The sequence below is a fragment of the Homo sapiens genome, chromosome 2 (genome assembly GCF_000001405.40).
Source record: "Homo sapiens chromosome 2, GRCh38.p14 Primary Assembly".
NCBI lineage: Eukaryota > Metazoa > Chordata > Mammalia > Primates > Hominidae > Homo > Homo sapiens.
In genome coordinates, this window is record NC_000002.12 from 219,968,081 (window position 1) to 219,995,005 (window position 26,925).

The following is a 26,925-nucleotide window of genomic DNA, read 5'->3' on the forward strand; positions in this document are numbered from 1 at the left end:
CTCATGTGCCAAGACATTAGCATAGCAGTTAACTAGTACTGGGATAAGAGTGGTGCTCAGGAATATTTTTTAACAATCCAATTGCATTAGTGCCAGCTATAGTTTAACCATCGGATGGTTATACTCACGTGCATAATGATAATTGAGCAATAGAATGCTGACATGAATTTTTGAGGCAGAATCTCTGTTTTTAGCTTTAAATACAAAAATCCAATCCAGAGAACAGTGTGATATCTACCAGCATTTGGTAGATTTCAGTTTGTTAGAAGAGGCTCGGGTTCCCTTTGTCCTCTGTGGTTGGTACCTGAGTTGTAGCTATTTAGAAATGGATTTCTGGAACAGTCTAAATCTTCTGTGCTGTTCTCATATTTCCCTGTACTATCCCAGAGGAATGAAACTACATCATCCGGCCTACCCTTTGTACCCAAATGTGGTTCAGAAATCCACTTTGTCTGAGCTGTTGTCCAGATTTTTGTTGTAGGCACTTAACACTTCTCCCATGGAAAGCTGCTGGGATAGAGTATATGAATGGCCCCAATCCTTCATCCTCGCCCTGGTTACATCCTTTACAATGTAACGTTGCAGTTCCTGCCACTAAAGAGGAGTGATGTCTCCCTGCCCTTTGACTTTGGGTTTGGCCATGTGACTTGCTTTGGGCTGTTAGATGTCACATGACTTATTCTTCACTTCCTGACTTTCCCTACTTGGTGTTCCACTTGTGCTAAATCGTGTGCATTCCTGGAATACATCACACACCTTGGCATCACATATTTCCTATTAATAGTTCTACAATATTCTCTCATGCATCCCCACATCCACCACACCCCGAGGGCACCACACTCTTTCAGGGCACTGCTGACTCATTCTTCAGTCAACACACAGTCAAGAATCATCTTCTCCCGAAAGCTCCTGCCCCCTCACCTCCCACACGCCCCAGGGTCCTTCAGGAGCACCTTCTGTTGCTGCACTTGTTGCCTTGTTTTTTAATTTCTGGCTTCTTTTCCTATGAGTTCCTGAAGGGCAGGGATATATTCTTCTCCATATTCCCAGGGCCCAACACAGTTCCTTGTGTGTAAGTGGTAAGCCAGCCGATTTCAGCCCTTTTTCCTTTGGTTGTAACCGGCTTCATTCCAAGATAAGATTGAGTCATGCTAAAAAAAAAAAAAAATTGAAAACACAGGATAACAATTAAGTAGATGAAAATTTAGGAGAGAAAGGAAATAAGGGGATAAAGAGATGATGAAATAAAAATTCAAGTTGGAGCCCCAACATGCCAGGAAATCCTGTATAATTGTTATATTTAGGCCTCTAATTAAGCTCTAAGCTTCTAAGTACCAAAGCAAAGGAGAAAAAACAGGAATGGTTATAATGTTCGGTTTAGATACTTCATGAAAGAAGATGTATGTAAGGCCAATAAGCACATTGAAAGATGCTCAACATGATTAGTCATGAAGGAAATGTAAGTTAAAATCATGAGTTACCACATTATACTCACTATATTGGTTTAAATGAAAAAGACTGACAATATCAAGTGCTATTAGAATATAACGCAACTGGGCTCTGACACAATGCCGGTAAGAGAATAAAAGTCTGGCAGTATTTTATGAAGTTAAACACATACCTATCTTGTGACCCAGCAATTCCACTAAGTAACTGAGAGACTCATTCATGACTTGTACGCAAAAGACTTGCACGTGAATGACAACAGCAGATTTATTCATAACAGCTAAGAACTGGAAACAACTTAGTTGTCCCAGGGTGAACAGACAGTTGAATTGTGGTATATTCATACAATGAAATAGTACTCAACAATGAAAATGAACAAGTTGCTGGTATATGCAACATGGATATATTTCACAGACATTATTTGAGAGACAGAAGCCAGAGAAATAAGATATATATATTATATAATTCATATGAAGTTCTAGAATAGGTAAATGTAATCTACAAGGAGAGAAATCAGATCAGTGGTCGCAGGGGATGGGTATAATATGTGAAAAATTTACTGTAAAGAGACATGAGACAATTTGCTGGTATGATGGCACTGTTGTAAGTCGGAGTCAGCCAACTTCTTCTGCAAAGGGTAAGATAGTAAACATATTAGGCTTTTCATATTATGGTCTGTGTTATAACTACTTAGCTCTACCATTATAGCCAAAAAGTGGCCATAGACATGTAAACGATGAACATAGCTGTGTCCCAATAAAATTTTATTTGTACATTGAAACTTGAATTTCATATATAGTTCACATGCAATGAAATGTTATTAATTTTTTTCAACTATTTGAAAATATAAAATCCATTATTTTCTGGCCATACAAAAATAGGTGGCAGGCCAGAGTTTGCAGCTCCCATCCTAAATTTCAACTAGGGTGGTTGTTACCTGGGAATATCCATCTGTAAAACTCATCAAATTACTGTCTAAATTTTTGTGTTTATTTTGTACTTAATTTTAAGCATAATGTAAATTATGTTTAAAAAAATTTATAGTTTACACGTAAGATAAAGAATGTGTATTTATCAATCAGCTGAAACCCAGATTTTCAGGATAGAAATTTCTCCTCTGGGTTTAAACAAGGTAGAAATTAGATGGTTACTGTTTGGCCACTGGTGGGCTGGCTCTTGCCTGCAGATAGGTTTTACTTGGCCTACAGAGTGTTAAGCATACATGATTTGAATTGGACTAGCCCTTCGGGCAACCCTCATTAGTTCTGCAGATTCCCTGATAACTTAATTATTATGGGCTCCTTTTCACCTTTTTACAATCAACCTCTCACTATTCTTTTTTAAAAAAAACTTATTATATATTATTATGATATTTTATTACTTATTGAGACAGGGTCTCACTCTGTCTCCTAGGCTAGAGTGTAGTGGCGTGAATGTGGCTCACCATAGCCCTGATTATTATGATATTTTATTACTTATTTAGACAGGGTCTCACTCTGTCTCCCAGGCTACAGTGTAGTGGTGTGAATGTGGCTCACTATAGCCCTGACCTCCTGGGCTCAAGGGATCCTCCTGCATTGGCCTCCTGAGTAGCTGGGACCACAGACACATGCCATGTCTGGCTATTGTTTTTTTTTTTTTTGCAGAGACAGGGTCTTGGTAAGTTGCCCAGGCTGGTCTTGAACTCCTGGGCTCAAGCAGTCCTCCCACCTTGGCCTCTCAAAGTGTTGGGATTATAGGCATTAGCCACTATGCCTGGCCTTGCTATTTTTTTTTTTTTTAAGATGGAGTCTTGTGCTGTTGCCCAGGCTGGAGTGCAGTGGCGTGATCTCGGCTCACTGCAACCTTCATCTTCCAGGTTCAAGTGATTCTCCTGCCTCAGCCTCCCGAGTAGCTGGGACTACAGGTGCACACTGCCATGCCCAGCTAATTTATGTGTTTTTAGTAGAGACAGAGTTTCATCATATTGGCCAGGCTGGTCTGGAACTCCTGACCTCATGATCCTCCCACCTCCCAAAGTGCTGGGATTACAGGTGTGAGCCACTGTGCCCAGCCATTATTCTTACATTTAAGTTGTTTCCCCTGGAGGCAGTGTGTATTTGGAACATGTGCTCATTTTTATTCATTTTTATTTTTTAGCATCTTTAAATCATTTGGGGAACAAAATGTGAGGGTAGGGCCACTCACATTTTTTTTTTTCTCAGAGCCTGGCATAGTGTTTGCACATAGTTGGAGCTGAGTCAATACTGTTAGACACATGCATAAGTACATTGATGAAAAAGTGTCCTTCAGACAATCTTCACCATGTTCATTCCTCACAAGAGAGTTTTGATAAGAATTAAGAAGCAATGAGTCTGAGACGATGTTGTCTGGTAGGAAAGCAGAGTGGTAAAATCAGTAGTTGTACCCTTCTATGTGTGCACAATGGAAAGTATAGACAAATAGCATGTGATCTAGACCTGCACTGTTCAATATTGTTCACGTGTGGCTATTTAAATTTAAATTAATTAAAATAAATTAAAATTGAACTCCTCAGTTGTGCTAGCCACATTCCAAGTGCCCAACACCACATGTGACTGACTACTGTATGAGATGGCACAAATAATATAGAACATCTCCAACATCAGAGAAACTTCCACTGGACAGTACTGATCTAGAAACACACTATTTGCGCTAAACAATTACAGAAAACAGAAAAATAGTACACTTAAATCATTTCTAAAACTTCAATATCAGATATTGATATGCAGTAGGCAAACTGTGGCCCTAAATGCAGTTTTTGTAAATAAAATTTTATTGGTACACAGTCATGCTGATTAGATTACATAGTGTCTGGCTTCTTTTGCAGTGCTATGGCAGAGCTGAATAGTTGCAACAGAGATCATATGAATGGAAAATCCTAAAATATTATTTAGCCCTTTACAGAAAAAAAAATTGCTGATCCTTGATACATAGCATGAAACTGATTTGTATTTATGGTGTTAATATTTATTTTAAGTGTGTTTTGTCAAAAACTCTACCTATATTCTGAAAAGCGAGTGGAAGAAAATAGAAATAATTGCTGTTAACCTTTTGGCAGATATCCTTTTAGTCTTCTCCCCACCCCACACCATGGTTGTATTTTTTAAAATATAAAATACATAATATATAAAATATTATGTTTTTCAAAGTTGGGATTACAGGGCACAAACTTTTTGAAACTCTCACTCCTACTTCCTATACTGTCTACATTTTCTTTCCCAAGGCAAAGTATTTTATGATCTGACTTTTTTAATGGCTGTATTTTATTCCTTTATGGTTCTGGAGTAATAGTAATTTATTTCATCAATATCCTATGGATAGATATTTGGACTGTTTATAGTTATTGCTAAATGCTAAGTTTTTATTGTTTTGTCTTTCCCAAGTAGGCATTCTCTTTTACATTCTATTAATGAGTAATTTTAAGGTCTTCAAAAAGATTCTTTAACCTGTATTTCTCTAATTGTAAAAATCCAGCCAAACCAGTATCTTTGGGTCACTTGTAGCCAATATTTGAAATTTAGCATACTGTCACACTGTTCTCCTTTTCTTCTCCAGCTTTGTTTATATATTCTGGGTTTCAAATCCTGATAACTGTAACTTAATGCATTTTTTTTAGATTATATTTCTCTAATTGTAAAAATCCAGCCAAACCAGTATCTTTGAGTCACTTCTAGCGAATATTTGAAATTTAGCATACTGTCAGTGTTCTTCTTTTCTTCTCCAACTTTGTTTATATAATCTGGGTTTCAAATCCTGATAACTGTGACTTAATGCATTTTTTTTACATTATATGATTTTGCATTCAAGAATAAATTTTGACCTTTGTGTTTGGTGTTATAGTCACATTTGCCACAATTATTTAGACTTATCTTTATGGTCAGCTGGGTTTAGTGTGTCTCACCAGTTCTTTCATATCTTGATTTCTTCATTCTTAAAACCTTATCTTTGTTTAATCTCTTGGTTGATTGAATTACATCAAGTGATTTTTTTTTAAAAAAGAAAAGCTAGATGAGTAATATATATTTTTAGCCTTTGTATATCTGAGAATAATTTCATATTGTATTTACACATAAAAGACAAATGGACTTCTGCCCTTCAAACTCATTAGATACTATCTAATTATTTTTTGGCAATTAGTGTTATGGAACAGAAGTCTGAGGCTGACTCAATTATTTTTTCTTTCATAGATAACCTATTGTTCCTTATTTGGATGTTTGAAGGATATTTTCTTTATTCACATACATTTTAGAAATTGCAAAATTTAATCTAGGTGAGATGCCCCTTTTCATTGATTTTTTTTCTGGTTTATGATAAATCCTTTCAAACAGAATACAGCATATCCATATTTCTTTCACCTAAGATAGTTTCCCTTCATCTTTTATTGTTGCTTTAGTTTTATTTATTCTGGTATTTTCTTCAAAAACATCAATTATCCCTATTTTTTACTTTTTATTCTTTATTTTTCCTCTTCCATTTTCCTTCTGTATTTACTCTCATTGTTTTCATGTCTGCCCATTGCATTTTCAGATAGCATCTCAAATTGGTCCTGTGATTCATTGATTTGACTTTTTATTGTATTTTATTACCTTCGTCACTGTCACTGTGAAGGTATTACTGTTTTCAGTTTGGGGCAGTCTTTTCTTACTGTATTAGTCCGTTCTCACGCTGCTAATAATGACATAGCTGAGACTGGGTAATTTATAAAGGAAACAGGTTTAATTGACTCACAGTTCTGCAGGGTTAGGGAGGCCTCAGGAAACTTAGAATCATGGTGGAAGGGGAAGCAAACATGACCTTCTTCACATAGAGGCAGCAGGGAGAAGTGCCAAGCAAAGGGGAAAAAGCCCCTCATGAAACCATCAGACCTGGTGAGAACTCACTCACTACCATGAGAACAGCAGCATGGGGGTAACCACCCCCAAGATTCAATTACCTCCCACCGGGCCACTCCCATGACACGTGGGGATTATGGGAACTACAATTTAAGATGAGATTTGGGTGGGGACACAGCCAAACCATATCACTTATCTGACCTGATTTTTTTTTTCATATCATTCTGTTGTTTTCTTTTGTATGTTGACTTTTTAATAGAAGCCTTGTGTTGTATCCTTTTAAATTTCAGCTTTTCTTCTTTATCCCTAGGTAATATATTTTCAGAAGTATATCCTATCTCTTAGTCTTCAAGACACTGTCCCCTTTCTCTTGTCTCGCTGCATTTCCCCATAGACCCTATGATGTTTATTATTTTCCTTCCTTGAATAAAGCAAGATCTATATAGACCCAGAGTTTGCCAAATGACCATGTTAGTCTATTCACTTGCCCTTCACCCTTTTCTCCATCCATCTAGCTGATGGTTAATGCTCCTCATTTCTTGAGTGGAGGTGTGCTGAAGGTACAACTCTATGAGTGAAAATCCCCATATAGAACAGGCAACTCAGCTCCTGGGAGTCCACTGCCCATTTCATTGATTCTTTGAAACAGTGCATGCACAAAGAAAACCACAATTCCCAGAATGCTCTTGTCTCACCCTCCTTGACCCTAAAGCACTACTTTACCTATGGAGACCACACTTCCCAGTATGCAGTGCGCCACAGGTTGCCCGTATTATTTTGAGGGGAGACAGAAAACCAGCTTCTGAAGTGATTATAGAAAGTCACTGTTTCTGAAGGAATATGTACAGTTATAAGAAGGCCACATTGTAGCCCCGTGAAGGAGCAGCACCTACACAGTTTTCTGGTTCACACACACACTTAATACGCACTTAATTTCCTAATAGGAAGGAAGGTAGGATCTACAGCATAGTGTTCTGTCTTTCAGCCCCTTCTCTTCTAATCTGTCATCTTTTATTTCATAGAGATTGACACGGTTTGGCTGTGTCCCCACCCAAATCTCACCTTGAATTGTAATAATCCCCACCTGTCAACAGCAGGGCCAGGTGGTGATAATTGAATCATGGGGGCAGTTTCCCCTATACTGTTCTTGTGGTAGTGTATGAGTCTCATGAGATCTGATGGTTTTATAAATGGGAGTTTCCCTGTACATGCTCTCTTGCCTGCCTCCATGTAAGACATTTGCTCCTCATTCACCTTTCACCATGATTGTGAGGCCTCCCCAGTCACATGGAACTTTGAGTCAATTAAACCTCTTTCCTTTATAAATTACCCAGTCTCAGGTATGTCTTTATTAGCAGCATGAGTAAAGACTAATACAAAGGTGGATCCTTCATATGGTACAATGGGGAATTTGGGTGTCCAGTTTAGTTTAATGCACACTAGAGACTCTTTCTGGATTCTGGAATTAGATTGACCTCCCTGCTGGTTTTTGTTGTTGGGAATTTTGGCATTTCCCAGTGCCATGAGAGTCTTTTAGTGGGAAGTTAGGAGAGGCTGTGTCAGGTGGGTGACTGCTAGCTCAATAATATTTTCAGCTGAATGCTTGACTTATTTTTTCTAAATTAGGATTTCTCAGGCAACTGTGTTGTTTATCATTTGATCACTCTTCCTTCCAAAGCCAGCAGTGGCATTGCTGAGAAGCTCCATGATTTCAGCTTTGCTTTTAATGGGCTTCTGCCTAGGTTTGCCTTTAATGGGGCCACCCTTTTCTCTCATCTCTGTACAATTCAAACCACATTTGAAAGGACCATTTGAAAACAGGGTTATAGAGTGATTTCTTCAAATCTAAGGAAGCGTAAAAGAAACCTCAGATAGCAAGTGAAAAAGTGAATCCTTCTTTCCTTGTCTGCCTTGGCTTGACAAAGGGATAACAAAGCTATTGTTAGTCTCACTGGCAACTCACAACAAGAATTTTCTAGTTTTTCTGTTGAAGTTTTGAAGGACTTTCCGAGTCAAAAAGGTCAGTTTTGTATTGAGGACTTGCTATTTATTTTAGAATTTAATTACACAGTGTAGTGACATCTTGGTTCAAGAGACCTGGGTGGGTATACCTAATTTTGAACAAAGTGGGAAATCACTGGAAAAAAAATGATGTGAAATGGAATTTAATGGAATTTACTTCATCACTATAGAGCACTTACTGGGAAATAATTTTCTCACTGACGCATTAATGATAGATGTTGATGTACAAATGCCAAAAGAGGGATTCCATGAGGCATGGTATTTATGGAAACATATTTTATTAATGAGAAATTTGAAGTTATTTGCAGATATTCACACACAGCACCACTTGCTGAAAGCCACAATGGTAACGTGATACTTGACTTCAAAGTCGAGAATGTGTCTAATCAGTGGATGAGTTTACTGTTCTTGCTTTACCCACGGGTTTTTATTTTGTGGTTATGTCAGAAAAAAGGAAGGACTAACAGTGAGTCTAACCCCAATTCACTGTGTTACTTCAGAGAATTCATATAATCTCTCTGGGCCTCCTTTCTGCAAGTACAGGAAAAGGATGTCTTGGAGGCTCCTCCCAGCCTACATTGTCTGATTCCTTGTTGAATGTGCTTTGCAAGCACAAGGTGGTTTTTGTGCGGTCAGTCCACATTAACTACCCCACGAGCAGCAGGGATCTAGAATTATTTGCTGTGCTTGTTCTCTAGGGCATTCTAATGAGCTATGGCAAATTGGAGCTGTTGAATCTTTCAGGCAAGTCCTGTTCCCCCAGTGATATGTCCTGAGATAGCACATTACAGAAATGAAGATGTGTTTTCATGGACTCTATGCTATAAAATATTTATGCCCTGCCTTTGGTTATATACAGTATTTTGCAGTGTAGGTCATCTTCTCAGCAAAATGTTCTACTCTGAGAACAGCTTCCTAAAGCCCCCATGGATCTTTAGGGCAGGCGCATAAGACAGCCCTACAGAACAAGACACTGTCAAAGCTAATGCCTGAATATAAATGGATCATGCATGACTTAACCCTAAAGGAAGATTTGGTGTGAATAGAATTTCCAAGATATATAATTAACTCTTTTATATTAATGAGAAATATAACCTCCAAAGATGTTAGCTGTCTCAGGATATAGTGTACTAAATTTTAACTCTTTCTCTCCTCCATGTGGAAGAGTGCTCCACTGTTCAAATCTGCCTAGGTATGCAGGGCACAGAATGATTAGAATTGCTGTTCCTTTTGTCCTGTGTTTCTTTTCTGGGACAGTTTGATGACATAGCTATTTATTGGGTCTCTATGCTCTACCTGCCAACATTCTGGCCACTCTGCTGGAGGCTGCAGAAATATATAATATGATTGCTGCCCACAAAAGGCTGTTTCATTGTTTCATTTAGTTGGAGAGTTAAGACATCTCCCAAAGAAAGAAACAAGTTAAAACAGCATATGATGGAATATATGTTATGTGTGATGGGGTTGAGTTCTAATTTATATGATGTTGATAATGAGTATGATTATAATTACTAATAGTAAGGATTAATGCCAGCTGTGGGGGTTAAGGAAATCCTTTTGAGCAGCAGAGATTTTAGCTGCCCTGTAAAAGATGGGCAGGATATGGGCAAGTAGTAAAAGGGAAGAACTTGTGTGGCTCACTGGGTGAGAAGATTTACCAGCTACTAGACATAGAGAGAAGGCCCTTAACAGCTGTATCAGCCAGGATAGTCTAGGTTATGCTTCAGAAACAAACAAGCCCAAATCTTAGCTTAAATCAACTAGAGTTTCTTTTTCATTCGAGTTACAAATTTAGGTTGGCTGAGGACTCTACATTGTCCTCTCTCAGGGATGCAGGCTGAGAGAGTCACCACTCCCTGGAATGCCTCTGGTCACCATGGTGGAAGGAGAGAAGAGAAAATCACACACTGGCTCTTACAGGCTTCTAACTGGATATGACACATGCAGCTTCTTAGGTCCATGGCTAAAGCTAATCACATGTATAAGCTTAATGTCAAGGGGGAAGTGGATTTCTCCTTTGTTCCTGCAAGAAAAAGTACAGGAAATACCGCAGAGTATCTCTTAGAGCACGGCAATGGTCTGCATCGGTCCCCGCAAGCTCTTGTGTTAAAACAATCCCCAATGTGGTAGTTTTAAGAGATGGAGCCTTTTGGGAAATGATTAAGTCATGAGAGAGGGCTTTGCTGTCATGAAAGGATTAGTGCTTTGTGAAAGGGCTGGAAGGAACTAGCTTAGGCTTCTTCCTTTTCCCCTCTTCTGCCATGTGAGGACACAGCATTTGTGCCCTACAGAGGACACAGCAACAAGGCTCACCATCTTGAAAGTTGAGACCAGGCCCTCACCAGCCCCCAAATGCCCTCATCTTAGACTTTCCAGCCTCCAGAATGACGAGTAATAAATTTCCATTCTTTATAAATTACCCAGTCTCAGATATTTTGTCATGGCAACACAAACAGACTAAGAAACACCAACTGTATGTCCAGGGCAAGAGAGGCTGTGTCAAATAGTGGATAGCACAAGGATATTGTCAATAGGTGCACCTAGATTGGAACGTTCTGTCGCTTACCAACTGGGACTGCATCTATGGAATGAGATTATTCTCATATCACAAGGTTGTTGTAAGGACTACATATACCACTAAATATTGATTTGTTTGGTTATCGCCTCCCTCTACTAACAGCTGTTTTTTTTTGTTCTAATCTTACATGATATCTACTATACCGCTTGCTCTTGGGTTTCAAGAAAATACCTATAATCTTGCAATAATTTTCCCTTTTTTGCTTAAGCTAGCCCAAGTGGATTTTAGCCAAGGCCTGTGCTAGTCCATGGGGTGACTTTGCAAAGTAGAAAAGGGCACACCTTATGAGTGGGGCTGCCTAGGCCCATAGACATACAATGACACAGTGACTTTGTATGATTTAAGAAAGGTTCCCTTCCTTTTGATAGTGCTGTCCCAGGATGGACGGTTTGGTAGCAGAGCATGGGTCAGATTTCAGCCTCACTTTCCTTTTTGGGGGATAACCCTGTGCAGTGAATATTGTATATAATCACGTGTTGGCCCTGGCTTTAGCACCTTTTAACAGATTCCTGAGAAAGACAATATTCTCTTTATTGTCCATCTTCCCCTTGTAAGACAAGAGAGAACCTTTAAATGTTACATATTTAGTCTTGCAAGAGTGCTACACATAGAATCCCAATATATGAATTCCCAAGAAAATAACTAAGAGGCATCATGCTCTCGTACTCTTAGAATATCCTCACTTATCTGCTATGTTTCAAATCAGTAGCATAGTTATTTATAAGCAAATCCCACTGATCTTAATGAGTTTAATGAATAAAGAATGAGTATAATAAATGAGTTTAACTTCACCCAGAAATAATTCCTCATACAAAAGAAGTTTGATATTAAAATACCCCCAAATATAATATAATTAAATCACATTAATTCTCTTAGGTATAATGCAATTGTTTGCGCTGTGCATAGATAAGAAGCTGAAAGCAAATTTCTGGCATGCCTTTGAGAAGAATTTGTGTAACTTTAAAAATAACTCAGAGGAAAACAAGGCCAGAATTGAGAGAGTTTTCTAGTATTTTTCTGTTTATTTTTTTCAGGCGGTGTCTTGCTCTGTTGCCTAGGCTGGAGTGCAGTGGCATGATCATGGCTTACTGCAGCCTTAACTGGAGCTCAAGCAATCCTCCCACCTCAGCCTCCTGAGTAGCTGGGACCACAGGTGCATGCCACCACAGCTGGCTAATTTTTGTATTAGAATTGAGAGAGTTTTCAAAGATTTAGGAGTTACATCACTTACTGGAGCAGTGTCTTGTTTAATGGTCATGATTCACAGGATGAGATTAGAGAAAATATTGACTTCAGCTTTCCCCTTGCTCTGTGGGGAGAAGGGGCCTCTTATTGGAGGCAATAAGGAGAGAAGGGAAATCACCTTCTGTGTGAACACAAGGTCTCTGCATGCTAAGTGGGGCCACCTTCTTTTGTGTGCACTGACACTGTGAAAATCTAAATAGGAGTGTAGTCGGCTGAACAATACCCTGCCTTCCGTGGATGTCTAAGACGTCCCAATCTCAGGAACTTGTGAATATATTACTTTACATGGCAAATGAGATTTTGCAGATGTGATTAAATTGTGGATTTTTACATGGACAGATTATTTTGCATTATCCAGTGGGCCCAATGTAATCACAAGGGTCTTTATAAGTAAAAGAGAGGGAGGCAAGAGAGTCAGTCATAGATGTGAGGACAGAAGCAGAAGTTGGAGTAATGCAGCCATAAATACCTGCAGCCTCTGGAACTTGGAAGAAGCAAGAAACAGATTTTTCCCGGGAGTTTCCAGGAAGAATCATTATCTACAGGTACCTTGATCTTTAGCCCTATAAAACTCCTATTTGACTTCTGACCACTAGGACTGTAAGAGATTAAGCTTATGTTGTTGTAATCCACTAAATTCTGGGTAATTTGTACAGAAGAAATAGAGAACTATTACGGGGAACAAGGGTGTGGGGCCTTCTTGAGGAAATAGCTAGGGAGGGTGAGAGTGGAGGATATATAGCTAGATCAGGAGTCAGCAAACTATGGCTCAAGGGTCAAACCCAACTTGCCACCTATTTTTGTACAGCCTGTGAGCTAAGAATTGTTTTTAGCCAGGCACAGTGGCTCACATCTGTAATCCCAGCACTTTGGGAGGCTGAAGCAGGAGGATCGCTTGAGCCCCAGGAGTTCAAGACCCGCCTGGGCAACATGGTGAGACTCCATCTCTACAAAAATTAAAAAACAAAATTAGCCAGGTGTGGTGGCGCACACCCGTGGTCTCAGCTATTCTGAAGGCTGAGGTAGGAGGATGGCTTGAGCCCAGGAGTTTGCAGCTGCAGTGAGCTGTGTTCATGCCACTGCACTCTAGCCTGTGTGACAGAGCAAGACCCTGTCTTTAAAAAAAAAAAAAAAGAAAGAGGGCCTGGCCTGGTGGCTCATGCCTGTAATCCCAGCAGTTTGGGAGGCCAAGGTGGGTGGATCACCTGAGGTCAGGAGTTCGAGACCAGCCTGGCCAACATGGTGAAACCCCATCTCTACTAAAAATACAAAAAATTATCTGGGCGTGGTGGTGCATGCCTGTAATCCCAGCTACTTGGGAGGCTGAGGCAGGAGAATTGCTTGAACCCAGGAGGCAGAGGTTGCAGTGAGCTGAGATGGTGCCACTACACTCCACCTGGGCGACAGAGTGAGACTCTATCTCAATTAAAAAAAAATTAATATCCATAAACCAAGTTCTATTGGAACACAGTCACACTCATTCTTATACATGTAGTCTCTGGCTGCTTTTACATAATTGTGTAGCAATCTACCACAGCAAATGGCCGATCATGTACCGTCTTGCTTCATCCACCCCCAAACTGAGACTACTATCAGATTATTTTAAATTGAATCCTAGATGTCATATTGTTACATCCACAGTGCCTTCAGTATGTATCTCCAAGTTTTTCTAAAGATAACCACAATACCACTAAAACAGGAGTTTTTAAGAATGAGGAAGTGGGGTCAAGAGGAGAAAAAAATAAGGTGGAAAAGTAGAGAAAACCAGGCACAATACCCAGAGGCTGTTTAAAGAGCATGTCACTTACCATAAACTCAGACCCAAGGTTGCATCAATTTTCCTGGAAATCTAGATAGGTAAGAAAATTAGACAGTTCTAAGCATTAAACGTGGAAGCAAAATGTCATCATAAGAGGCAACAAATTAGGTTGTTGAGAGAAAATATCAGATCAAACCTTGAAGCAAGGCCATTAGCTTGGTGGTTCTAAAACCTTACAGAAGAAGCAATGAGCAATGGGGCAGATTAAAGCTTCTTGAGTCCTGCTCAGGAAAGATGTGCGGCTACAAATTTGACTCTCTTATTTCTCCTTTGATGTTAGCCAGCTCAGTGGTCATCTTTATGTTCCCTGTAGAGATGAGAGTGAACTGTGTATTGTCATTTGGTCCCATCTCTGGATGTAGGTGGTAATAACAATTGCCTGACACTTTCCAGTGACCAAGCATGGAGTCAAGGCGTTGGAAAGAACAAAGGACTCAGGGGGATCAGTTTGTTGGTTTTTGTCCTTTGAAAGAAAATCAGTTTTTGTACCTATTTTTTAAAATGCTGGCCAGGCGCGGTGGCTCACGCCTGTAATCCCAGCACTTTGGGAGGCCGAGGAGGGCGGGCCACGAGGTCAGGAGTTCGAGACCAGCCTGGCCAACATGATGAAACCCTGTCTCTAATAAAAATACAAAAAAATTAGCCAGGTGTGGTGGCGGGCACCTGTAATCCCAGCTACTTGGGAGGCTGAGGCAGGAGAATCACTTGAACCTGGAAGGCAGAGGTTGCAGTGAGCTGAGACTGTGCCACTGCACTTCAGCCTGGGCGACAGAGTGAGACTCAGCCTCAAAAATAAAAAAATTTTTTTTTTTTAGATTCAAGGTGTGCAGTTTTGTCACATGGGTATACTGTGTGATGCTGATATGATCGATCCCATCACCCAGGTGGTGAGCATAGTACCCAGTAGTTAGTTTCTCAGCCCTTGCCCCTCTTCCTACTCCCACTCTATTAGTCCCCAGTATCTATTGTTGCCATTCTTTTTAAAATTTTTTAATTTTTTGTTTTAGACAGTCTCACTCTGTTGCCTAGGCTGGATTGCAGTGTGGAATTTTGACTCACTGCCACCTCCTCTTCTAGGGTTCAAGCGATTGTCACGCCTCAGACACCTGAGTAGTTAGGATTACAGGCGTGCGCCACCACGCTCAGCTGATTTTTGTATCTTTAGTAGAAATGGGATTTTGCCATGTTGGCCAGGCTGGTCTCAAAGTCTTGGCCTCAAATGATCTGCCCACCTCAGCTTCACAAAGTGCTGGGATTCCAGGTGTGAGCCACTGCACCCGGCTATCATTGTTGCTATCTTTATGTTCATGAGTACTCAATATTTAGCTGTCACTTATAAGTGAGAACATGCAGTATGTTCTGTATTTTTGACCCAAGTATTTTGCCTACCCTTCCTTCTTGGGTTGTGGTGAGCATCTGATGAAAGTGTACATGTGAAAATACTGTATAAGTCAGAAAGTGTTATGCCAATATAAGACTTGGTATTAGATTATACTGAGTGGGATATATATATATATATATATATATATATATATATATATATATATATATGTATTTAAATTTATTTTATTTTTATATTTTAATTTTGTATAGGGATGGGGTCTCTCTATGTTGCTCAGGCTAATCTCCAGCTCCTGGGCTCAAGTGATCCTCCCGCCTCAGCCTCCCAAAGTGCTGTGATTATAGATGTGAACAACCATGCCTAGCTACCTTCTTATTTTCAACAAAATTTGTTTTGCACCTTCTATGTTCTTCGCTCTGTTCTGTGGATTCCTGGAGGACTATTAAAAAGCATTGGCAGGTGCTACAAATTCTCTTTCTTATTATTAGTGTTTTGTTTTTCTTGTCTGGCAGGGAAATGATATTTTATGTCACTTTGACCTGATTTCACTGCTACTATGGTTCACATGTTTATGAAATGTAATCTACTCAAGAGAAAAGCAGACATTTTTCTTCCTGATATGCCTGTAGGTTTGCCATGTTGAGCAATAATGATGGAATTTCCAAATTCCTATCAGTAAGAAAACAGCATATTCTTGGTGTGGGGAGTGAGTCTTTTGTGGGAGGAAACCTAGGTCAAGAATTATGTAGGAAAATGAGACAGAAAAAGAATACAAATTCTAAAGTTTTTTAATGACAACCCTTCTAATTTGTGCCTAGAAGATTGTGTATAGGGGGATTACTATACTGGGTTTGAATTGCAACAAATAAGATCATCCACCCAAAGCATCTGGCTTGACCCAGGAATTGAGGAATATAAAAATAGTTATGGGGAAGTTTTAAAGAAAACTGGAATAGTTTTAAAGTTGGAATGGGATCCATTTGGTCTATGACTATTTTACAGGTGTGGTCAAATGAGACATGCTTGAAATGTTTGCTTTTTATAATTTACTGCAACTCATTATAAATGGCAGGGTTGCACTAGTATAGGTATAGACTGCTTTAAGAAAACTCAATATTTATAACCCCACAAATGTATAAATTGTGAATTATGAATTAGGGGATGAGTATCTCCATTATAAAAGAATTTGCCTACAGGATTCTCTCTTAGAATATTTAAAATATAACTTGATTTACAAATATGGTTTACAGAAATACATCTGGGAAAAGTAAGAGCACACACATACGCATGCTCTGAGTTTAGATTCTTCATAAAGATAGACAGATGGCATGTTATGTCTCAGGATAACTGTACCTGCTATAGGCTTGTCCTTACTACAAACAGCCAGCTCTCTTATCTCTTAACAATCAGAGACTACTTATTGTTGCAAGAGGCAATCTGCCATGGGCTCTGAGCATCCCTGTAGTTTTTGCTGGCTATGCTAACAATGCTAAGCTTTGACCATTCTTTACCTGGACATTTGCTAGTATTGTGTTTACTATGAGCAGATTGAGAAATATGGTAATGTCTCTATTTGGGATAGGAAACAGGGTTGCTTACTACTTACTATAAAACAACATGTTCCCTAAGCTCAGTGCTCCTCATCTGTGCTGCGAGCCTACTGTGTGCAGAGCATCCATCTGGGCCCACAATATTGCTCCGATAAGATGTGGGGGCAAGGAGAATGGATACACATGCTGATGCTCATGCTTCTTGCTGTGCTATGAGTAATAACGTCCTTTGTCTCTGACCCAGGAATCTCTTGCCTTCTGCTAGCACCCATGAAACAGTAACTAGCTAAATTATTAACTTGTATACAAGGGTAAAACCAGATCTCAGTCCTGACACTTTTCAATTTGACTGTGCTGGGTTAAATCTGTGGATTTGGGGTTATCTGAGTACTTTGTTGACTTAACATAAAGGCACTTACTACTTTATTTTCTCAACTTTTAATTGCCTAGGACTGCATGCTATATTATTTTTACCTTTTAATTTAGTTTTTTAATTTTAATTTTAATTTTTCTAGAGACAGGGTCTTGCTCTGTCACCCAGAGTGGAGTGCAGCAGCATGATTATAGTTCACTGCAGCCTCTAACTCCTGGGCTTAGGAGATCCTCCTGTCTCAGCTTCCTGAGTGGATAGAACTAGAGGCATGTGCCACTACACCTGGCTAATTTTTTATAAAACTTTTTTTGTAGAGCTGGAGTCTTGCTATGTTTTAATTTTTTGTAGAGACAGGGTTTTGTCACGTTGCTTAGGCTGGTCTCAAGCTCCTGTCCTCAAGTGATCCACCCGCCTTGGCCTCCCAAAGTGCTGCGATTATAAGTGTAAGCCACCACGCCCAGCTATTTTTGCCATCTTTATGTTCATGAGTACCCAATGTTTAGCTGGTTTTAAACTCCTGGCCTCAAGCAATCTTCTGCCTTGACCTCTCAAAGTGCTGGGATTACAGGTGTGAGCCACCTTGCCCAGCCAGCATGAAACAATAGCAGTACTTTTATTGTCTTAGGGCTAAGCTAGAGCAGCTGGTGTTTAGCTTAGATTTTTGTGGTTGTTTTCTTTTATATATAGGAAAGGAAAAATCACTGAATCATTTAATTAATGTCATATTCTCCAAGTATAACTCTTGATTATACATAGAAGGGAGAAACTGATGACTATCAATGAATCTAAACATTGAGGGAAGAAAAATGGGACTGAGCCTGTATGTAGGATTTATGAACTGACTACATATATAGGATGTGTATTTTAAAGGTATCTTTAAAATGCTGCTGTGCTGTGTATGGAGTACATCTTACTAGGATGTGTCTACTTGGACCACATTAGATGGTACTTTGTGTTCTGAGGATTAGAATTCTAGCTCTAAGAAGAGGTTTCTCTTTTGCTTTCCCTAGCCTGGGTCAGCTACTTAATCTCTTAAGTAGGTTTCTCTTCTACCAAAACATCTGGGAAACAATAGATACTATTCTTAAGGTAGAATATATGTGTGGCATATGTATGGGTGATTTGTAGATCTGATTTGATGCATGTATTTGCGAATGGGCATGGCAATGAGCTGGATTTGTTTTAAGTGAACATACAGAAATTTCCAAAGGGATGTTGTTTCCTTTAAATTATCACCTCAGAAATCTATGTGTTATTCCCAAGTTATTTCCAATAACATGGCTCAAACTTTACTATTACTCCTTTTATGGGAGTGCATTCAGAGTCCAAGATCCAGTGGTGATCAAACTTTGTGCTTTTTAAAAATTTACCAAAAACCATGTAGAGCCAATTCTATGAGTAAAGTGTGAGATCAAATGGAGTTAAAAAAAAGAAAAAAGAAGACACACAAAGTAGTAAAATTGATTTTCTTGAGTGGTTTGCAAACAGACCCCAAAGGCTACTCCCAAGCAAACTTCTGGAAACTCTTTAGATCAGGGGCCCCAAACCCCAGGCCATGGACTGGTATCAGTCTGTGGCCTGTTTGGAACCGGGCTGCACAGCAGGAGGTGAGAGGTGGGCCAAGTAGCATTACTACCTGAGTTCCGCCTCCTGTCAGCGGTGGCATTAGGTTCTCACAGGAGCACAAACCCTATTGTGAACCGTACACGCATGGGATCTAGGTCGTGTGCTCCTTATGAGAATATAACTAATGCTTGATGATCTGAGATGGGACAGTTTCATCCTGAAGCCACACCCACCCTGTCCATGGAAAAATTGTCTTCCATGAAACAAATCTCTGGTGCTAAAAAGGTTGGGGACTGCTGCTTTGGGTGATGGCAGTCCCTCAGTGTATGGCTTTTCAGTGTCAGCTATGAAGGGACCAATGAATGTGTTCAACCTATTACACTTAGCTGCACGACTGAATTATGCCAGCACGTCAGTATCACCAAGGGTGTGTGTGGGATGGTGGACAAATAAGTAGGTGCTTCATGGTCACCTGCACGATTTGATTAGAATGGGTCTCAGCCAGTTGATTTTTACTATTCAATTTATTGCTTTGAGCTCTGTGAAAAGCCAGCTTCTTTAATAGCAGTGAAACTATTTTAATGACCAGTGACATGTTGGTCATGTTAGACCAACGCTTACGACTTATGTGGAGACGTGGCCTGTTTTCCACTTTCAGGATTACAGGGGGAGGTGCAGGGAACTTGGGCCTCTATCTGGCCCAGTGTTTTCCAAATTTCCATCATTTTGTATCACGATTTTGCAATATATATGCCAGTGATATTATCTTCTTGAAAATAACTCACTTAAAAAATCATATATTTATGAAGGAAACTTTCTATTACTGCTATAAATGAATAAAACAATTGATGTGAATACAAGAAAACCATAAAATAAATATTCTGAAATAAAATAATGCTATTAAATTCTTACTAGATACTGATTGTCTGAACCCGAGTTTTGTTTTTTGTTTGCTAACAAGGGAGATTAGTAAGTGCTGGAAAGATGTAAAAGACATAGTAAGCCAGTGGTGAATCATTGCCTCTGAGTCTGTTTATGCTGCTGTTTATCCACAACGTTGGGCAGTCTCTTTCCACACTGAGTTCATTCTTGGCCATGTGACTAGCTTTGACCAATGGGCAGTAGCAAATGTCATGTTAGCAGTGACTTGAAAAGTGATTGCTCACTGGGGCTTTTCTTCTCCTGCTGTTCTTGGAACCTCTGACCAGCACATGAATAAGCTCAGGCTAGCCTGCTGGATGATGAGAGACACATGATCCAATCACCCCATCACTCCAGCCAACAGGCAACCAATGACCAGATATGTGACTAGCTAGTTACCGCTTGTGAATCCTCCAGCTACAAAAGTGAGCTCAGCCAAGATCAGCTGAGCCTGGCTTATGTCAGCAGAACCAATAATCCCATAGACATGAGAGCACTAATAAATTATTGTTGTGCCACTAAAACATTTCAGGGTGGTTTGTATTTTCTTTGCTTGAATGAGTTTTTGTTTTGTTTTGTTTTTAAAATTTGTTTGTTTGAGACAGGGTCTTGCTATGTTGCCCAGGCTGGTCTCAAACTCCTGGGGTGAAAGTGATCCTCTTGCCTCAGCCTCCCAAGTAGCTGGGACTACAGGCATGTGTTACTGCACCTGGTCAGGGTGGTTTGTTATTCATCCAGAGTTAACTTAGACCCTAAACTAAGATTTGTTCCAGGCATTTCGTAGCATAAAATTTATCAGTATAATTTCTTTAGTGTTGGTTTTGAGTACAACCACTTGGTCTACAATGAATGGTATATATCTCATACTTCAAGAAACACCGATCTAGTCCAAGCCCCACCTTTTAGGTTTAACAATTAAAGTCTCAGAGAGGTGAAGTGACTTACTCAGACTTCATACTTAGCTAGTAACAAAGATGATACTTACACATCAGGTCTTATGTATCCAACCTGAGTTCATTTCCAGAGCATTTTGCTGCCTTTAGGATTGGTGTGTTTAATCATATTAAAGTGACGAGTAGGATTTTTGGGAGTTATTGTGTCAGCTTCTGATATCTTTATCCTCTCCTGAAGGGAGCAGGAATAAAGTTAACTCATAGAATTAAAAATTTATTTTTAAAGTTTTGGATTATCTTGTGTTGTGGATTGAATTGTATCCCTCTCCCCCAAAGATATGCTGAAGTCCTAACCACCAGTATTTGCGAATTTACCTTATTTAGAAATAGGACTTTTGTAGGTATAATCAAGTTAAGATGAGGTCATGCGGGATTAGGGTGAGCTCTAAATCCAGTGTGTCTCTGTGTCTGTATTCGGACACAGCCATATGAAGACAGAGGCAGAGACTGGAATTATTCTGCTACAAAATGCCAAGGATTGTTGAAAATCATCAGAAACGAGGTAGAGGCTAGAAAGGATTCTTCCCTAGAGCCTGTAAAGAGAATGACTGTGCCTTGGTTTCGGACTTCTAGCCTTTGGAACTGTGAGAGAATAAATTTCTGTTTGAAGCCATCTGGTTTGAGGTATTTTGTTAGAGCAGCCACAGGAAATGAATGTATCTTGCTTGTTTACCTTTGTTTGGAATCATGTTCTATCTAAATTGCACACTAACTAATATGGGCAGTAGAGAAATTGACAGACAAAATAGGAAAGTTAGGACCTCAAAATCAAAAACCAACCCTGTCCCTCCCTTAGAAATAAGCTACCAAATAGAAAATGCCTGCGTGGCTGAGAGTTGAGTGTGTGCACAGACGCAAGTGCAGCCTTGTCTTAGATTTCTTTCCATCAACAAAGAAGAAGGCCCATTGCATTACCTTTGGGCAACTCTGTCTCAGCCCTTGTGCAACAGAGCGAGTCTATTGGCATTATCCTTTCCAGAGTTCATAAATAATGTAGAAATTCAGTCTTCGTAGGGGAATTAACATTCACTAAAGAATTCTCTGTAAATTCATTTTATTGGGGGCGTAACAAACATCTGTATCTTCTGTCAGCGAAACTGTCTTCAAGGAGAGAAGACAGGTATGCACAGAATTGACGTTACCTCTTTTCTTCCTGCTAGTGGCATTGTTATCCTAATGCTGGTCTTCCTATTCAGCAGTAAGCGATGTTGGTGCTCACTGTGAATTATCACCTCTGCACTTTGTGCAGTCAGCAGCACCTCCTTTTCTTGGTTGCGTTAATCATAATCTATTTACAGTGCTGTGCATTTTGAAATCCTTATCCTGCTGCATCTAAGCATTAATGAGGCAGCGGGGCAGGGTTTGTAGGGCAGCTGCACCAAGACAATTTGCTTGGTTTCTGAAAACCTCCTCCAGATAATCCAGAAAAATCCTTTACTATGGGGACCCTAATTTGTCTGATTACCTTTTTCCAACAGATGCTGGGGTCATATCCTTAGACTTTCATATTTGTCAGTTTCATTTGGTTAATTCTATTAGTGGCTTATTCCAGACATGAAAGTCATTTGCTATTAGAAACAACTGTTGTCATCTTAAAAGGAAAATCCCGGGGCCTCCTTTCCTTCTGAACTTCACGTCAACAGCATAGTCTGGATGCTCAAAAGTGCTGCTTTGCATTAATTGTCTTCTATCCACCTACACCTCTTTAGTATTTGGGAAATAATGCCCTACAGTAAAGAAGAAAATGGGGCCGTGACTAACATAGGGAATGGGACGAATTTGAAACTGTCCCTCAAACTGGATCTGGATGACACAACCAAGGCTCATGCCAACTTGGAAAATTTGGTGGGTTAGTTTCTCAGTGACTCCTAGCCCCCTTAGAATAACCTGTCACCGCTTTTTTTCTTAAGTATGAAGTTATTGGAACCACCAACGTGCTTGATATGGTTTGGCTGTGTCCCCATCCAAATCTCATCTTGAATTGTAGCTCCCACAATCCCCGTATGTCATGTGAGGGACCGGTTGGAGGTCATTGAATCATGGAGACAGATCTTTCCTGTGCTGTTCTCATGATACTGAATAAGTCTCATGAGATTTGATGGTTTTATAAAAGGGAGTTCCCCTGCATGAGCTCTCTCTTTCCTGCTGCTATGTAAGACATGACTTGGCTCCTCCTTGCCTCCACCATGGTTGTGAGGCTTCCCCAGCCATGTGGAACTGTGAGTCCATTAAAATTCTTTTCTTTATAAATTACCCAGTCTCGGGTATGTCTTTATTAGCAGCATAAGAACAGACTAATACAGTGCTCATCTGCAAAACTCCATTTCCCAGCTTCCCTGCAGCTTGGTGGGACATGACAGCAGTTCTGGCCAATGGCATGTAATGAGAAGTCTGCTGAGGATGTCTGGGAAAATTTTGCTCTTCAAATATAGACGTATTTCCTTCCTCTTTCCAGCCCAATTCTCTTCCCTCCTGCTTGGAATGCCTGTGAAATTTCTGGAACTGGAGCGGTCATCTTATGACCATGCAGGAAAGGCCAACAGAACTGCAGAGACCTTGCCCTGAGGCACTCAGCTACCAAACCAATGCCAGGAACCATCTATCTCTGGACTTTTAGTGTCATGAGGAAAAATAATCTCCATTCTATCCATATCACTGTTAAGTGTGTTTTCCATTACATGCAGCCAAACTTGATAACTGGGTGATATGGGGGGTTTCCAAGAGTCTAGTGTGTTGCTGATGTCTTGGGTTAAAGAGTTTTCAGGAGCTGGAAGGAAATATGAGTTGGGCAGGGAGGAGAAGCCCAGCAGAGTAGGAAGCCCTGGTGTTCCACATGTGTGTTTCAGACTGGGCCTTTTCTCATAATTTCACTTCACCCTATGGTTCAGAGTTTTATTAGTGTTCTGAATAACTTGTCCAATGAATTCCTTGGGTTTCTGTGCCCTTTGAGGAATTTCATTTAGTGAACAACTGCTTTGTTCATTTCTTCACTAATTTTACATTGCTTGAGAGAAAAAGCTCTGACTGAGGTGAGGATATCTTAGTATGCCTTAGGAAAGAACTGTGTACCTCTGAGTGAATTGGGGAGAAGCAGGATACATTTTGGGGAATTAAAAATGTCACTTTGTACACAAGAAGTCATTCTGATTAAGGACAAATATATTCCCTGAAAGCAGGAATGTGGCTGGATTAGATCATCTCCTTCCCCCCTACACTTTAAAAAGTTGGTTTGAGAATGTTCAAGTAATTATTTACCACCTCAGTCTGAAAATTAGGAGTCTACTGGGGTCTCATGAAATAGTTCTGCTGGGGTGAGGTCTGGTGGTGGCGCGGGGAGGGTAGAGTATCAGCGGGGGTTCCCACTGCAAGGTAGGGAGCTCTGAGCTTGCTCCTGGCTTTGGGGGGTTTCTGTGGATCCCCCTCATGGCCTTGGACCTAGACTTAGAGAAGGACAGTTGGTATGGGCAGGGCTCCAGAGTGCAGAGGGACAAACATCTGTACAAGGAGAGCAAGGAGAGAGCTGCTCTGGATTCAGTCTCAGTATCTTTCTGGCTAGGCCCTGGGCTATCTTGTTTACTTTTAATTGCTCTGGCTATTCTCTGCACACAGCTCGACACAAAACACACCTCCTTGGACAACAAGTAGGAGGCAGAACCCAGTCTTTAGGATCTAGAAGAACTGGGTTCTGCCCTAGTTCTTCCATTTATATGCTAGCTGACCTTAGGTAAGTTACCTAGACTCTCTGAGCCTTGGTTTCCCCACCTATCAACTTAATTATTAATAGTATCTACTATTGCTACATAATAAACAACCAAAAATCTCAGTGGCGCCCAACAGGAAGCATTTATTTCTCACTCACAGGGCTGTTGGTCAATGGAGGCAAACTTTCTCAGATCACAGAAGCATGAATCTTGGACCCAAGTTTTGTGTCTGCTCCATGTGGGTTGCTCTGGGGCCCCAGCTAGAGAGCAGTGGCTGCTGGAGCTGGCTCTTCTGGTGGAGCTCTGAAGCTTCCAGATGGGTGAGAGGGAACCTGCAATGCTTCTTCAGCTTACAATTCTTATACTGTCACTTCTGCCATTCCATTGGCCAAAGCAAGATACATGGCCAAGTCCTGCGTCTACAAGTTCAATTTCCTACAGAGTAGGAAATGCATTCCTACTATGGAGGGAGATGGGAATGAATATTTACTGAACCATAATCTAATTACTACTCCCATTGGAAACAGATGTTTTGGAGACTTAATGAGATAATGATGAGGGGCATTTAGCATGGAGCCCTAGATATAGTAAGCTCTCATTAAATATAACTTTTTTTTTCTGCTGCTGCTGCTGCTGTTCCTGCTATATCTATTCCTGTGACACTCCCTTCCTTAGCCTAAGAGATGAAGTTCTGGAGAAGAATGCATGGGAGCAGGCTGTGTACCATTCAAGGCCTTGCTGGCTTGGAGAATCAAAGCTCCCTCCTTTTACCCCAACATGTAATGTTCTTCCCTTTGACCTCAAATGGGTCCATGGAAGCTTCTGAAAACTTCAGGTCCTTGTACATCCTATTACATTTAAAGCATGTTCATGCCCATTCTTATTTGACTCTCTCAATTACTTGTGAAGTAAACTCAGAAGCCATTGCCACTGTCATTTTATGGAGAAGAGAAGAGGTTGGGTTGATCCCAGGTGACATCTGTCCTTTGGGACTTTCTAGTCTACAGCTCAGATGGCACAAAGTGTCACTCTCATTTCTATTTTTAATTTTAATTTAATTTTTTTTTGAGACAAGGTCTCGCTCTGTCACCCAGGCAGGAGTGCAGTGGCACAATCTTTACTCACTGCAACGTCTGCCTCCCAGGATCAAGTGATCTTCCCACCTCAGCCTCCTGAGTAGCTGGGACTACAGGTGCTTGCCACCACACTGGGGTAATTTTTTGTTTGTTTTTGGTAGAGAAGGGGTTTCTACCAAAAACAAAGGCTGGTCTCAAACTCCTGGGCTCAAGCAATCTGCCTGCCTCAACCTCCCAAAGTGCTGGGATTACAGGCATGAGCCACAGCGCTCAGCCCCAGAGTGTCATTTTCATGACACGGGTATTAGTTGAGGTTGGCAGAAATCAAACATAAGCATTTGAAAATTTAGTGTTCATTTTGTCATTCATTCATTCACTCCTTTAATAAAGCAGGACGTTTTGGAGCTCTCGTTGTGTGGTCCATAAGCATGTTATGGTGGACGATTAGATAAGTGCTATAAGGCATTAGGGGCTCAGCAGACTCTGCCAATTTCAGGCCCATTTGGGGTTCAGATATTGGCAAGGTGTTGGCAGTGAGGGCCAGAGGCAGGAAGACTGAGCCTTCTAATCACTCCTGCCTTGCTCATTGCTGTGTGTCCTTCATCAGCCATATGATGTCTCCTCTCACATCTCCTTAGAGCACCCATTAGGTCCAACTAAACTGCTCTTTTAGGATGCACTGGGGCAGTTCAGGGTCCCAACACAGCCTCCTACTCTAATAGGCACCCTTTGATGATGGAGAAGGCAGGTCTGATGCCTAGAGTTGGGGTCGGCAATCTGGGCTGTTGCACTGACTCTGTGGCTGGCCGGGAGTTTGGGAGGCATCTAAACACATTCCCTTCTCTTTCCTTTTCCATCTTCCTGTCTCTGAGATGGAACTTGTAATGGACTGAATGGAGATGGTCTTGATTACTTAGTTCCTTTTTCTCAAACCATAGCTAAATGTCATAACTATTTAAACTTATGAAACAGACAGGGACCATTTATCCCCATTTTACAGATGAAGAAACAGGCTCAGAGAGAGTAAAAGATTTGTCCACTGTGCTGCTGCAATCCCAGGTGACCTTATATATCCTTCCTAGTCTTCAGATTCCTTAATACTTTTGAATTCACAGACACCTGCTCTGTGTTGTCCTTGCAATGCCCAGGGCTTGCCAACCCTTACCTGTCGGTGGTGTGAGGAAGCCTGAAGTAGGAGCAAACAAGGAAGGAGAATTTCTCCCTCTTCCTCCCAGGGATTCCTGGTCATCTACCACAACTCCTTTGTTCTCTACCACCCCACAACCCTGGATCTTGCAAGGGAAGGAAAGATCCATTCAGGACCGAAGCCCATTGGAGCCATTCATGTTCTGGGTTGACGTGGATTCAACTGGGCATGGCTGCTCTGTGTTGGGTGGGCACCCTTACATCTCTACCAGTCCTGGTCCCTTGACCTTTGATCGTCTCTGGCCTTGGCCTGTTGTGAACCTGAGGTCTCTTG

General features: G+C 40.6%; 1 long non-coding RNA gene across 3 annotated transcripts in view, besides 1 other annotated feature; it reads left to right on the forward strand.

Moving 5' to 3' along the window:
- Positions 1-26,925, forward strand: part of LOC105373891 (uncharacterized) — an 87,352-nt gene that overhangs the window by 20,239 nt on the left and 40,188 nt on the right. The gene's annotated exons all lie outside the window — the stretch shown is intronic.
- Positions 303-1,502: an enhancer, noted in NCBI's record as "P300/CBP strongly-dependent group 1 enhancer chr2:220833104-220834303 (GRCh37/hg19 assembly coordinates)". NCBI's record gives its function as "activates an origin of replication core promoter dependent on BRD2, BRD4, P300/CBP, MED14 and CDK7 cofactors, with strong dependence on P300/CBP, by STARR-seq in HCT116 cells {active_cell/tissue: HCT116}" and the evidence as "EXISTENCE:reporter gene assay evidence [ECO:0000049][PMID:35650434]".